Source organism: Homo sapiens, chromosome 11 (assembly GCF_000001405.40).
Source record: "Homo sapiens chromosome 11, GRCh38.p14 Primary Assembly".
NCBI classification, from domain to species: Eukaryota; Metazoa; Chordata; class Mammalia; order Primates; family Hominidae; genus Homo; species Homo sapiens.
In genome coordinates, this window is record NC_000011.10 from 66,069,681 (window position 1) to 66,082,027 (window position 12,347).

General features: G+C 48.1%; 1 protein-coding gene across 1 annotated transcript in view, besides 7 other annotated features; it reads left to right on the plus strand.

Annotated features, from left to right (window-relative positions):
- Positions 152-771: a silencer, noted in NCBI's record as "silent region_3573". NCBI's record gives its function as "represses an Ori minimal core promoter by ATAC-STARR-seq in GM12878 lymphoblastoid cells {active_cell/tissue: GM12878}" and the evidence as "EXISTENCE:reporter gene assay evidence [ECO:0000049][PMID:35858748]".
- PACS1 (phosphofurin acidic cluster sorting protein 1) overlaps positions 592-12,347 on the plus strand; it is a 174,473-nt gene continuing 162,717 nt past the window's right edge. The window contains exon 1 of the mRNA NM_018026.4: positions 592-1,162. Within this exon, the coding sequence (NP_060496.2) occupies positions 807-1,162 (356 nt within the window). The 5' untranslated portion in view covers positions 592-806. The remainder of the gene's footprint in view (positions 1,163-12,347) is intronic.
- Positions 782-831: a silencer, noted in NCBI's record as "silent region_3574". NCBI's record gives its function as "represses an Ori minimal core promoter by ATAC-STARR-seq in GM12878 lymphoblastoid cells {active_cell/tissue: GM12878}" and the evidence as "EXISTENCE:reporter gene assay evidence [ECO:0000049][PMID:35858748]".
- Positions 982-1,111: a silencer, noted in NCBI's record as "silent region_3575". NCBI's record gives its function as "represses an Ori minimal core promoter by ATAC-STARR-seq in GM12878 lymphoblastoid cells {active_cell/tissue: GM12878}" and the evidence as "EXISTENCE:reporter gene assay evidence [ECO:0000049][PMID:35858748]".
- Positions 1,122-1,271: a silencer, noted in NCBI's record as "silent region_3576". NCBI's record gives its function as "represses an Ori minimal core promoter by ATAC-STARR-seq in GM12878 lymphoblastoid cells {active_cell/tissue: GM12878}" and the evidence as "EXISTENCE:reporter gene assay evidence [ECO:0000049][PMID:35858748]".
- Positions 1,332-1,536: a silencer, noted in NCBI's record as "fragment chr11:65838483-65838687 (GRCh37/hg19 assembly coordinates)". NCBI's record gives its function as "represses an EF-1alpha promoter that drives an FKBP-Casp9 reporter gene in an ReSE screen in phorbol 12-myristate 13-acetate-treated (for megakaryocytic differentiation) K562 erythroleukemia cells {active_cell/tissue: K562(+PMA)}" and the evidence as "EXISTENCE:reporter gene assay evidence [ECO:0000049][PMID:32094911]".
- Positions 8,390-8,509: an enhancer, noted in NCBI's record as "active region_5030". NCBI's record gives its function as "activates an Ori minimal core promoter by ATAC-STARR-seq in GM12878 lymphoblastoid cells {active_cell/tissue: GM12878}" and the evidence as "EXISTENCE:reporter gene assay evidence [ECO:0000049][PMID:35858748]".
- Positions 10,783-10,832: an enhancer, noted in NCBI's record as "active region_5031". NCBI's record gives its function as "activates an Ori minimal core promoter by ATAC-STARR-seq in GM12878 lymphoblastoid cells {active_cell/tissue: GM12878}" and the evidence as "EXISTENCE:reporter gene assay evidence [ECO:0000049][PMID:35858748]".

Consider the following 12,347-nt stretch of genomic DNA (forward strand, 5'->3'; position numbering starts at 1 on the left):
GGGGGTAGGGAAAGAAGAGGAAGGTTGGCTCCAGATGGGCCCCGGGGTAGCTTGAGAATTCACTTATGCGAAGAACCTTCTGGACTCCAGGTCCCTGAGCCCCCGCTTGCCCTCGGGGCGGGAACTTCCCGGATCACAGGCACCCGCGGTGGCAGCGGGCCCCGGGTCTCCGCCGACCTCTCTGTTTGCCGGGGCCGCAGGGCAGGGCTAGGTCGGCAGGCGGAGAGCCGGCTTCCCCGGGCAGACCCCCACCGCTGGGGGCGGGTTCCGCATTGGCTCCGAAGACCCGAGGGGCCGAGGCGCGCTCCCGCGGCGGCCCCCTCCCTGCAGGGACCGAATCCCGGAAAAGCCGGGTTTCCGCTGGCGGGGCCGCGGCCGGCCGTGGGCGGGGAGGGGAGGAGCGGGGGCAGACTGGCAGCGGATTTGAGGGCAGGACCCGTGGGCGCGCGCTGGCCACAGACCACCCCTTCTACTCCGCGGGAGCGAGGGGCGCGCGTGGCTGCACGCAGGGCGCGAGCGCGCCCGGCCCGGCCCCTCCGCGCTGGGTGGGGCCGCGCGGGCCGGGCTCCCCGCCCCCTCCCGGACACGCCCACCCGTGTCGGCCTCGCGAGCCGCAACAGGCAGCGGCGGTCGAGCGCGAGGCCCGCGCGCCCAGAGGCCCCGCGCGTGCGTGCAGCTCGCTGGCTGCTCGCGCTCGGGCAGGCGGGCTGAGGAGGCTGCCGCGCCCCCGCCGCCGCCGCCGCGGGGGAAGCCTGGGAGCCAGATCGGCGTCGCCTCGGCCTCCGTAACCCCCGCCTAGCCGGGCCATGGCGGAACGCGGAGGGGCGGGCGGTGGTCCCGGAGGCGCCGGGGGCGGCAGCGGCCAGCGGGGATCCGGGGTCGCCCAGTCCCCTCAGCAGCCGCCGCCGCAGCAGCAGCAGCAGCAGCCGCCGCAGCAGCCGACGCCCCCCAAGCTGGCCCAGGCCACCTCGTCGTCCTCGTCCACCTCGGCGGCGGCTGCCTCCTCCTCGTCCTCGTCTACCTCCACCTCCATGGCCGTGGCGGTGGCCTCGGGCTCCGCGCCTCCCGGTGGCCCGGGGCCAGGCCGCACCCCCGCCCCGGTGCAGATGAACCTGTACGCCACCTGGGAGGTGGACCGGAGCTCGTCCAGCTGCGTGCCTAGGTGAGCGCGGGAGGGTGCGGCGGGGCGCCGGGGGAGCGGGGTGGCCGCCGGGGCCCAGCCCTCCCCGCCCCAGCGCCCATGGGGTCCCCGCCCTCCATCTCCCCGACTGTCCCGCGGCCCGGCCTGGCTCCAGCCAGGCCTCCCGGGACTCCTGCCACGGGGACCCGCCCTCTCCTGGCAGCCCCACCTTCTGCCTGGGGCCGGGACCACCCTTCTGTCCTCCCCGAGGGACCTTCTGGCCTCGGCCCCGGGCTTTCTCCGATTGGGCTGACCGAATCCGGCCTTCCTGGCAGTCAGTTTCCCTGAGTAAGTCACTCTCCTGCCTCGCCGGCGCCGGGAGCTGTACATACATGGATGTGGTATAGATCTCTTGATATTATTATTTCCCAATAGACTCAGCATGTGCCAAACTCGATTGTCACCTCTTGCAGGTAAAGCTCATATAATCACCCTAGGGGCTTCTCATTAGCCTTCGGCACACATGTTCATTTGAACTTCATATTACACACGTTCTGTCCCAAGCGCTAGGCTCTTAGTTTTGGGGCCCTATTTAATGTGTCCTCAAGTGTATTTTTACCTCCCCTCCCCCACTAAAACTGGTCCCAGAATCTCCCAGCTCTGCAGGGCTGTATGAAATTACTGCCTTGTTCCTAAATTCAATCCATTGCTCTCTGTCTGTTGGAACCATCTGGGGACTTTCCTTCCATTGGCAAAATAGGCCTGAGTTTGGGAATATTTTCTGTTTTTGTATTGGCAAGGCAGTCTGTCTCCAACTCTGGGGACAGGGTGCTGTGTCTTACAGTTTGCCACTTGAATAAGACGGTGTGTGGAGCTGGTTTCACCCAGAAAGCCCAGAGAAGTGCCTGGAGGTGTTCTTTTTTGTCACCTTGTAGCTGAGTTGATTCTGTTGCCTTGAAGTCTTGGGCTGTCTCCTCACTGTTGGTTAGGCAGACGGATGTGTAAGTCAGAGTTAGAGAGGATTGCTGGGCTCCCCCCTCGACTGTCTTCCTTTCCCCACCTTTATTCTGGATAATATTGTTTTATATATATATCCCAGATAGGAATGATGAGAGTACATCTTTCTGTTTCGCTCAGCTTAAGGAACAGAGCATTATCGCTTCTGTTGAAGCTCTCAGGGTGCCCCTTCCTGACTGTCTCCCCTCTTCCTTCTACAAAGGTAAACACTATTTTGAATTGTGTTTATCATTTCCCTTGTTAGAAAAAAATTAGTTTTACTACATAATGCATCTCTATATATTTTATAGTTCTGAATGTTCTTGAAGTTTGTGTACATGGTGTCATCCTGTATGTGTTCTGTGACTTGATTGGTTTTTTTATTTTTTTTTAAATCAGCATTAGGTTTGTGAGAATCATCCATGTGGTATGGTAGCCATAGTTTAAATATTTTCATGATGGGTAGTATTCTGTTGTGTGAATGAATATACCGTAATTCTCTTGAATATGTAGGTTGTTTCCTGTTTAACACCCACAGTAATGCACACATTTCCCCCCAGGACTCCTAGTGCTCTTGTGCAGAAGTTTCTTTAGGTTGTATTCATATGGAGGGGTGGGATTGCCGCTCGCAGGGTATAGATCTGGGACTTCACTAGGCAAAAGTAGATTGTTTCCACAGGCTGCTTCCACTCTGTGTTTCCACATCACTTAACAGATTTACACATTGTTTTTTTTTTCTCTGTCCTTTCTCTAGGGAAATCAGGAGCCACATTAATTTAGTTTGCTGTGGCCAGATCCATAGCACAACACCAAGCTCAAGCGAGAGTTGAGTATGTGATGGTGTTCCTCTCTTGATCCTAAGCAGGCCTCTCTCTTTCTATACAGGCCCATCTATCGCTGAAGTATCCTAACCCACCTCTTTCACACATAGAAACACTGTGTTCCTTCCTACGTGGGTCCAGTCTTTCCCATTTCTCCTTCACTTTCATGCCTGTGTTTGGTGACGTTTGGGCAGCTGCCTTCTCCATCTCGTTAGGTTGAAAAGGCGCGAGCCTACTGGCAAGGAGCTGCAGCAGAGGGGCGTGAATGAAATCATTGACTGCTGTTGATGTTTGGTCTGCCCCTAGGTCTTTTGGTCACTGCAAAGTCCACGTAATAAATTATTAGCCTAAGAAACAGCCAGGCATCCTGATCAAATGTATAATTATTATGCTAACTTGCTGTGAGAGGCTTAGGCGGACTTATTTTTACATTCCGGGAGTGTGCAGTTACGTCACGTTTACTGACCAGTCCTTGAGCTTGTCCACTGTCCTGCTCCGACATTGTTTTTCATCCATCACCCTTGTACCTCCTCACTCCTTGTGGAACACATGTGCTCTTTGAGCATTTTGCAGGCCAGAATAACACTCTGTGGGGAGAAAATGGCCTGCCATTGGTCTTTCCAATTATTAGAGTCATCTGGTTAATTTGAGGTCTCCTGGGTGTCCTTGTTCATGTTGTTTAGAATATATAGGCAACATGCAGCACTCTGTGGAGGGATTAACATTCTTGTCTCATGTAACTCAAACGGGACACAAATATATGAGATACATGCCCCTTAGAAATGTAAACATGATTGTGGATCTAAGGTTAGGTGTGCATAAGAATGTCATGGGATTTGGTCTCTTAGGGCAGAGAAGAGGGGCTCGAACAGTACAGTGTTAGGAAGGTCCTGCTGCTTTTCTTGATGCCTGTCAAAATATAATTTTCTTTTGAAAAAAATACCGTTTCCTGTATTAGATATTTAAATAAAGAGCAGTGTAGTTGTTCTTCAGGTAGGTGTCTGCTCTTATTTAACATCTGTTAAATTCCCCCAGAATACATAGTACTTTTGAAAAACTTTATATAGGTGAATAGCTTACTCACAGCTGGTTTTAAAAGAATGAAATTGTTCTGTTGATCACATTTTTCACCAGCATTTTTTGTTTTTTTTCTTTAGATGGAGTCTTGCTCTGTCATCCAGGCTACAGTGTAGTGGCACAGTCATAGCTCACTGCAGCCTCCAACTCCTGGGCTCAGCAATCCTCCAGCCTCAGCCTCCCAAGTAGCTGGGACTATAGGCATGTGACATCACACCTGGCTTTTTTTTTTTTTTTTTTTTTTTTTTTAAAAACAGGGTCTCACTATGTTGCCCAGGCTGGTCTTGAACTCCTTGCTTCAAACTGTCCTCCTACCTCGGACTCCCAAAGTGCTGAGATTACAGGTGTGAGCCACTGTGCCCAGCCTTTTACCAGCATTTTTTTTAAAGACAAAATGATTAATATATGTCCATGATTAGAAATTTGAGCAGTATGGAAAGATGGAAAGCACAAAGGAAAAAGCCCCCAGTCCATCCCTCTTCTCACTTCCCAGAGGTAATCACTGTGAAATACAGTTGGCTTTTAAGATTCTGTTACAAAAAGGTAGTTTTGCTATAGTTCCTTTATCTTTTATGAAATTCAAGCTTTAGAAGTTAGCATTGTTTTCCCTTCATGCTAAGTAGTACTTCCTCTACTATGGTCCAGTATGGCATGGACCGTGGTGCAGGGTTATGGGGACCAGGTGGCATGCTGCTTGATGTTAAAGGAAGGGTGTTAGAGCCTCATTGTTGATCCCTTCCCTTCTGCCTTTGTATGGTGAGGTTTCCCTGATGTTCTTTTCTTTTTGTGTTGCTGTAAGTAGGAGAGGCAGAAAAATTACTAAATTTTACAAGCATTCAAAATTTCCTCAGTGGCATAAAAGTGATTATTAAGAGATGAAATGTGCTCTGCTGTATCATTCGCAAACCATATCCAAAGCCCATTTGCATACCCTTATGTGTATGTGAACTTAGGGTAGGAGTTGGCAGTTATCAGTCACTTTTCTCCTTAGGTCACATTTTTTTTAAGTGGGTGCTGAGGTCAAGCCTTAATGGACAAAAGCGTTGGAATCACAGAAGGTGGCCATAGCTGAGTTGGCATGACTGGTCTGCAGCAGAAGTGTTACTTTCATGAAAACGCTTGGGGGCATTTGCCCCTTTAACCACAGAAGCACTATACGAGCCAAGATATACTACTCTATCTTCTTACTATATACTAGGACAAACTCTTCCATGCATTAGTTTAATTTTATTAATTTTTTTTTGGTGTTTTTTTTTTTTTTTTTTTGAGATGGAGTCTCGCTCTGTCGCCCAGGCTGGAGTGCAGTGGTGCAATCTCGGCTCACTGCAAGCTCCGCCTCCCAGGTTCGCTCCATTCTCCTGCCTCAGCCTCCCGAGTAGCTGGGACTACAGGCGCCTGCCACCACACCTGGCTAATTTTTTGTATTTTTTTGTACAGATGGCGTTTCACTGTGTTAGCCAGGATGGTCTCGATCTCCTGAGCTTGTGATCTGCCCGCCTTGGCCTTCCAAAGTGCTGGGATTACAGGCGTGAGCCACCATGCCCAGCCTTTGTTTTGTTTTTTTGAGACACAGTCTTGCTTTTTTACTCAGGTTGGAGTGCAGTGGCACAATCACGGCTCATTGCAACCTAGACCTCCTGGGCTCAAGCATTCCTCTCACCTCAGCCTCCTGAGTAGCTGGGACCATAGGCACTTGCCACCATGCCAGGCTGATTTTAAGATTTTTTTGTAGAGATGGGGTCTTGCTGTGTTGCCCAGGCTGGTCTCGAACTCCTGGGCTCAAGTGATCCTCCCGCCTCAGTCTCTCGAAGTACTGGGATACAGGTGTGAACCACTGTGCCTGGCCCATGCCTTAGTTTTTTCATCTTTATGGGAATACTTTTACTTACCATCCATTCTTAGATGTGGATGAAATATATATAAAATTGGATCTATAGAAGCATGGGAGAAAGTATTTCTTAAATTATAGGTATAAAGTAAATGTAATTGATCAAATAAGAAAGACCTGATGAAATTTCTATTACTACCCTAGCATTAAAAGTCCTTTTTTTTTTTTTTTTTTTGAGACGGAGTCTCGCTCTGTCCCCCGGCTGGAATGCAGTGGCGCGATCTGGCTCACTGTAAGCTCTGCCTCCTGGGTTCACGCCATTCTCCTGCCTCAGCCTGCCAAGTAGCTAGGACTGCAGGTGCCCGCCACCACGCCCAGCTAATTTTTTATATTTTTAGTAGAGACGGGGTTTTACCATGTTAGCCAGGATGCTCTCGATCTCCTGACCTCGTGATCCACCTGCCTTGGCCTTCCAAAGTGCTGGGATTACAGACGTGAGCCACCGCGCTCAGCCACATTAAAAGTCTTAAAAGCATGTTTGTACCTTAGGAGATTTGAATTTCACATTGTGAGTGTTGTAATAGAATATCATCTCTATCAGGGTAATAGTATCCATCGTCCCTGTGGAAGCTCAGATTACATGAGTTAGAAAGATAATGACTTTCACAGAGTCCATTTTACATGTATTGATTTACAGATCTTTTGGACACCTTAGCGGTTATGTGATTTCTTTCTAAACTAGTTTTCCAATTTCTTAGCTAAGCCAGTAAGTTGTCACTGTTGTTGTAGGTGCTGGAATGAGGGCGGGTACGCCTCAGAAAATGTTAGAGCTGCGTCTTTTCACTACCTCAGTTCAGGAGGCTTGTCCAGTTTGGACTTGGACTTTTTTTTTTTTTGAGACAGGGTCTTGTTCTGTTGCCCAGGCTGGAGTGCAATGGTGCGATCTCGGCTCACTGCAACCTCCGCCTCCCAGGATTCTTGAGCCTCAGCCTCCCAGGTAGCTGGGACTATAGGCGCACGCCACCACACCCAGCACATTTTTGTATTTTTAGTAGAGACGGGGTTTCCCCATGTTGGCCAGGCTGGTTTCGAACTTCTGACCTCAAGTGATCCGGCGGCCTCGGCCTCCCAAAGTGCTGGGATTACAGATGTGAGCCACTGTGCCTGGACTGGCCTGGACTTGAAGGTGTTGATGTAGATGCCAGCATGCATCTACATGGTGGGTCCTCTGAAATTTGGTGTTGGCCTGGCTTGCACCCATGTTGTCACATTCCGGAAATTCCGTGGGAATCTAGCGTAGCTGTGGGAATGATTTGCCAACGTTGGTCTTCTTCCAGCACAGGGCTTGAGGTGATATTGAGGGCTCTTGAGGAAAGTCAGAGTTTGGAGTTGGACTTAGAACTTCTTTCAGAGGGCCATCAAGCAAGGTGGGCAGTCTCTTAGGTTGGCAAGCACTGACAGGGTCTTCTTTGTGGACCTAGATAGAGGAATAACCAGCTTCCAAAGGTTTTAGAGACCAAGATATGCACCAGCTCTAGAGTGTTACCCCTTATAGATGTTCACAGGGCAGTCAGCTGGACCTGTGTTCCCCGTTATCTCATTAAAAACCAGAGAATGGCTTTGGTCACAACTCAGGGATCGCCACTTAGGCAGACCTGCACCCTGCCTCTTGACCTTGGGAATCGCAGTAGAACAGACAGCTAACCAATGAAACACATCTAGAAAACTTCTAGAAAATAGTTTATTAAAACATTCCAAGGCTGGGCGTGGTGGCTCATGCCTATCATCCCAGCACTTTGGGAGGCTGAGGCGGAAGGGTCACTTGAGCCCAGGAGTTTGAGACCAGCCTAGACAACATGGCAACCCCTCTCCACAAAAAATAAACAAAATTAGCCAGGTGTGGTGGCGTGCGCCTGTGGTCCCAGCTACTCAGGAGGCTGAGGTGGGAAGAGCACTTGAGCTCTGGAGGTCGAGGCTTCAGTGAGCCATGATCTCGCCCCTGTACTCTAGCCTGGGCAACAGAGTAAGACCCTGTCTCAAACAAAAATGGGTGAATAGAGAATGTTCTAAGTCATTACTTTCCTTGTGTTGAGGTAGATGGTGAGGCATAGGTGATAAAATAGTGTTGATGGCAGGTTTGTTTATTTAATTTTGTGCAGATCCTTTTAAATTGTAAGTTTGTTTTTTTTTTTTTTTTGAGACGGAGTTTTGCTCTTGTCACCTAGGCTGGAGTGTAAAGGCGCAGTCTCGGCTCACGGAAACCTCCGCCTCCGAGGTTCAAGCAATTCTCCTGCCTCAGCCTCCCGAGTAGCTGGGATTCCAGGCATGCACCACCATGCATGGATAATTTTGTATTTTTAGTAGAGACGGGGTTTCACCATGTTGGCCAGGCTGGTCTCGAACTCCTGACCTCAGGTGATTCACCTACCTCAGCCTCCCAAGGTGCTGGGATTACAGTTGTAAGCAACCATGCCTGGCCAACTGTAAGGTTTTTAAGGTACAACAAAGGTTGGAATATTTGAGTTTAGTGCTAGCTTCAACAATTTTTCTGAATCTCAAATATCGTTCTTCCTCTTTTCTCCTTGTGAGTAATGATCTGTGTCCACTCTCAGATCAACCTGGGCTCCCTTCATCCTTTCAACACTTTCAGTACTTTTAGTTTTGTAAATACAGTGGTATCCACAGGTCATTTTGGCAAAAACACTTTTTAGAACTGTATGCGTCTTAGAAATTGTGATGTGGGTAATTTGCTGTGTATGTTTTTTAGTGACCTCGTATAAATATAGGTAGATGTGAAAGGAGTGACGCCTTAAATTTGCTCCCTACTGTAACACCTGTTCCCTTCTTTGTAGTCTGTGTAACTCCTCCAAATGACAGATCTTTTGGACACATTAGTGGTTATGTGATTTCTTTCTAAACTAGTTTTCCAAACTACCTCTCAAAACTTTATTATGAGTAGGATTTCCCCCAGCTAACATTTTGGGTATGACTGGCATGTTAATTGTCTCTGAAGGATTTTAGACTGGTTATTTTGTTTTTGATTTTGAGATAGGCTCTCACTCTGTTGCCCAAACTGGAATGCAGTGGCATGAACACAGCTCACTCTGTTCAGCCTCAACCTCCTGGGTTCAAGTGATCCTCCCTCCTTAGACTCCCAAGTAGCTGGAACCACAGGCACATGCCAACATGCCCTGCTAACTTTTTAATTTTTTGCAGAGACAAGGTCCCACTATGCTGCCCAGGCTGATCTCAAACTCCTGGGCTCAAGCAATCCTCCCGCCTCAGCCTACCATAGTGTTGGGATTATAGGCGTAAGCCACCGCACCCAGGCTAGGCTGGTTATTGTGCTGAGATATAGGAAGGCGTTTTTTCTTTTCAGCTGTTTTCTTTTCTTTTTCTTTTTGAGACAGAGTCTTGCTCTCTTGCCCAGGCTGGAGTGCAGTGGCGCTATCTTGGCTCACTGCAACCTCTGTCTCCCGGGTTCAAGTGATTCTCCAGCCTCAGCCTCCCAAGTAGCTGGGATTACAGGTGCATACCACCATGCCCGACTAATTTTTGTATTTTTAGTAGAGACAGGCTTTCACCATGATGGCCAGGCTAGTCTTGAACTCCTGACCTCAAGCCCGCGTCAGCAGATTACTGGCGTGAGCCACCGCCCAGCCTCTTTTCAGTTGTTTTTCTGAAACATTGTGTGTGTTTGTGTGTGAGTATGTGCACTTCTGTATCTGTCTGTGAGTTTTCTTTTGTTCCTCTTGGTAGGTGAGACATTCTTTGTAGCAGGTTTTTTTTTTTTTTTTTTAATAGTTTATTGCTGGGAAAAGGTCTGGGTAAAAAAAAAAAAAGTTTAGAACACACTAAGGCTTGGGGCATCAGTCATCATTTACTGATCCCTCCTCACTAACCTTTTCCTGCCTCTTGTTTACAAACACCAAATGGCTTCAGGGTTTAGGGAGCAGCTTTTCCCTTCTGTTTTTCTGTTTTATGGTACCTCTCAAACACATTGCATTGTAATCCCTCCCAACCTCTGCCACCTTAGTCCTTCCCAGAAAGTAACCACTAGTGGCAGTTCAGAGTGATATTTTAAAATGAAAATCAGAACTTGTCACACCCCCTCTATAATCTTCCAGTTCATTCATTCAGCAAAAGCTTATAGACCAGCTGATATGTGCCGCAAGCAAAATCCTTGATCTCATGAAGTCTGCATTCTAGTGGGTGAAGATAAGAGACACCATCCAGTAACTTTCCGTCATACTTAAAAAAGATCCCCTTTTCATGGTTCAGGAGATGCTAAACGATGCAGCCCCTTCCCATGTCTTTGACCTCACCTTTGCGTTCTCCCCTTGTTCCTGCGGTGGGTCACCCTCGCCTTAGGGCTTTTGCACTTGCTGTTCCCTCTACCTGTGATACCCTTTCCCTGGATCCTTGGATCGCTGAGACTAGCTCCTGGGTATCATTCAGCTCTTCACTGACCTGCTACCTTGGAAGGCTGTCCTCACCTGCCCAACCCCTTCTGGGAGTTTATAAAGCTACTTCACACCTACTCGCCATTACTGGAAATAATCTTGTTCCTTTATTTAGTTACTTTATAGATGCTCAATAACTACATTTGTCAAATCAATGACACTGATTTTCCTATAGTGTTTTATAATGTTTATTGAATGACTATCTGTTATGCACAATTCATCCATTCACCAAATATTTACTGAGTGTTTCTGTGTGCCAAGCACTGATCTAGGCTCTGGAGAAGCAGCAGCAGACAGGCTGACAAAGTCCATTCTCTCCCGGGGTGTGCTTTCTGGTGGGGGTGACAGATGAGGAACAATTATATTGTTATATCTGTGATAAATGGTCAGATAGCGAGTAGGGTCACAAAGAATAGTGTGGTGGGGAACTGAGTGTGGGGGGAAAGGCTGTCTTGGTGAGGGAGGGCCTCTGGTAAGGTGACAGTTGCGCTGATGCTCGCTGCAGTGAAGCTGATGACCAGAGCATTTACTGTGTGCCACAAAACTGCCAGAGCCAGGTGCTACGATCCCTTTTCTCAGAAGGGAAAATTGAGGCCCTGTGAGGTGAAGGCATTTTTTTAAGACTACACAGTTTAAAAGTGGGCGGGGCTGGAATTTGTCTCATGACTCATGATTGCCAGACACCAGAGCCGTTTCTGTGTTTAAACTTGGTCCCCCAAGCCCTGTCTGGTTCTCATAGCTGACAAATAATATTTAATGCCTTATTCTTTGCCAGCTGGAATTACAAAACACTGCTCAATTTCCATCATAGACAGCGAGAGGCTGTGTGGTATAGTGGCTGTGAGTGTGGGTTCTGGAGCCAGTCAGGTCAGATTTTACTATTTGAGTGACTCTGGACAAGTTTTTAACCTCTATAATGCTTCAACTTTTCTCATCTGTAAATGGGCATAATAATTGTCCCTGCTGAGTGTGGTGGCTCATACTTATAACCCCAGCAATTTGGGAGGCTGAGGTGGAAGGATTGCTTGAGCCCAGGAGTTCGAGACCAGCCTGGGCAACATAGGGAGACCCCGTCTGTACAAAAAATAGAAAAAAAAATTAGCTGGGCTTGGTGGCACACGCCTGTGGTCCCAGCTACTTGGGAGGCTGAGGCTGGAGGATTGTGTGAGCTCAGGAAGTCAAGAATTCAGTGAGCTGTGTTCGCACTACTGCACTCCAGTCTGAGCGACAGATCAAGACCCTGTCTCAAAAAAAAAGAAAAAAGAAAGAAAGAAAAGAAAAGTCCCTGTCTCACAGGATTATCATCAGAATTAAATAAGGTTAATTTTGTTATTAACACATGTTAATCGTGTGTGTGGCAACATAGAAAGCACTTAATATCAGCTATTACTGTTGCTGTTTTTCTTGTCAACCTAATTTCTCCGTCTTCCCTGCCCCCCCCAACCAAAACAAAACAAACAAAACAAACAAAACAAACATGCTTTCTTTCTAGAATTAGGGTAATATTCAGATTTCCTCGGTGGGACCATCACAAGGTCTTGGGTTCACCTGAGGCACAGATCCTGCCAAACCCCAAGCTTATTAGACTACAAAGTCAAAACAAAATATTTTGGTTCTCTGAAGCAGTGGCTGGGTCGGGATCCTGTTTCTACATCCTGCCAGCTTATATGAACGGAAGAGATGGTACAGGCCCCGCCTGCAAACCACAGCTTTGTTTTGAGCCAGCTTGACTTGACAGCTTCCCTGTTTTACCTGCTGACTTCTTTAGCCCTGGTTTGGCAGCAGAAGAGCAACTGAACCGGTTTACAGCTTGCCATTTGTCACCGGTGAAAACTGAGCAACTCCTAGGAAAATGAGGGTTTAAATGTAGTTAATTTTTTTTTCTCTTGTCTTTTTAAGTTTTCCTTTTTGTGTCTCAAGCCATAGAAAAACTACATTCTACTTTTACAGGAGAAACCTGATAATACATTTGTGGTCTCTCCTGAAACATGTAGATCTTTGGGTGTATGTTAATTTTCACCTTTAATAAGCATCAGGACTTT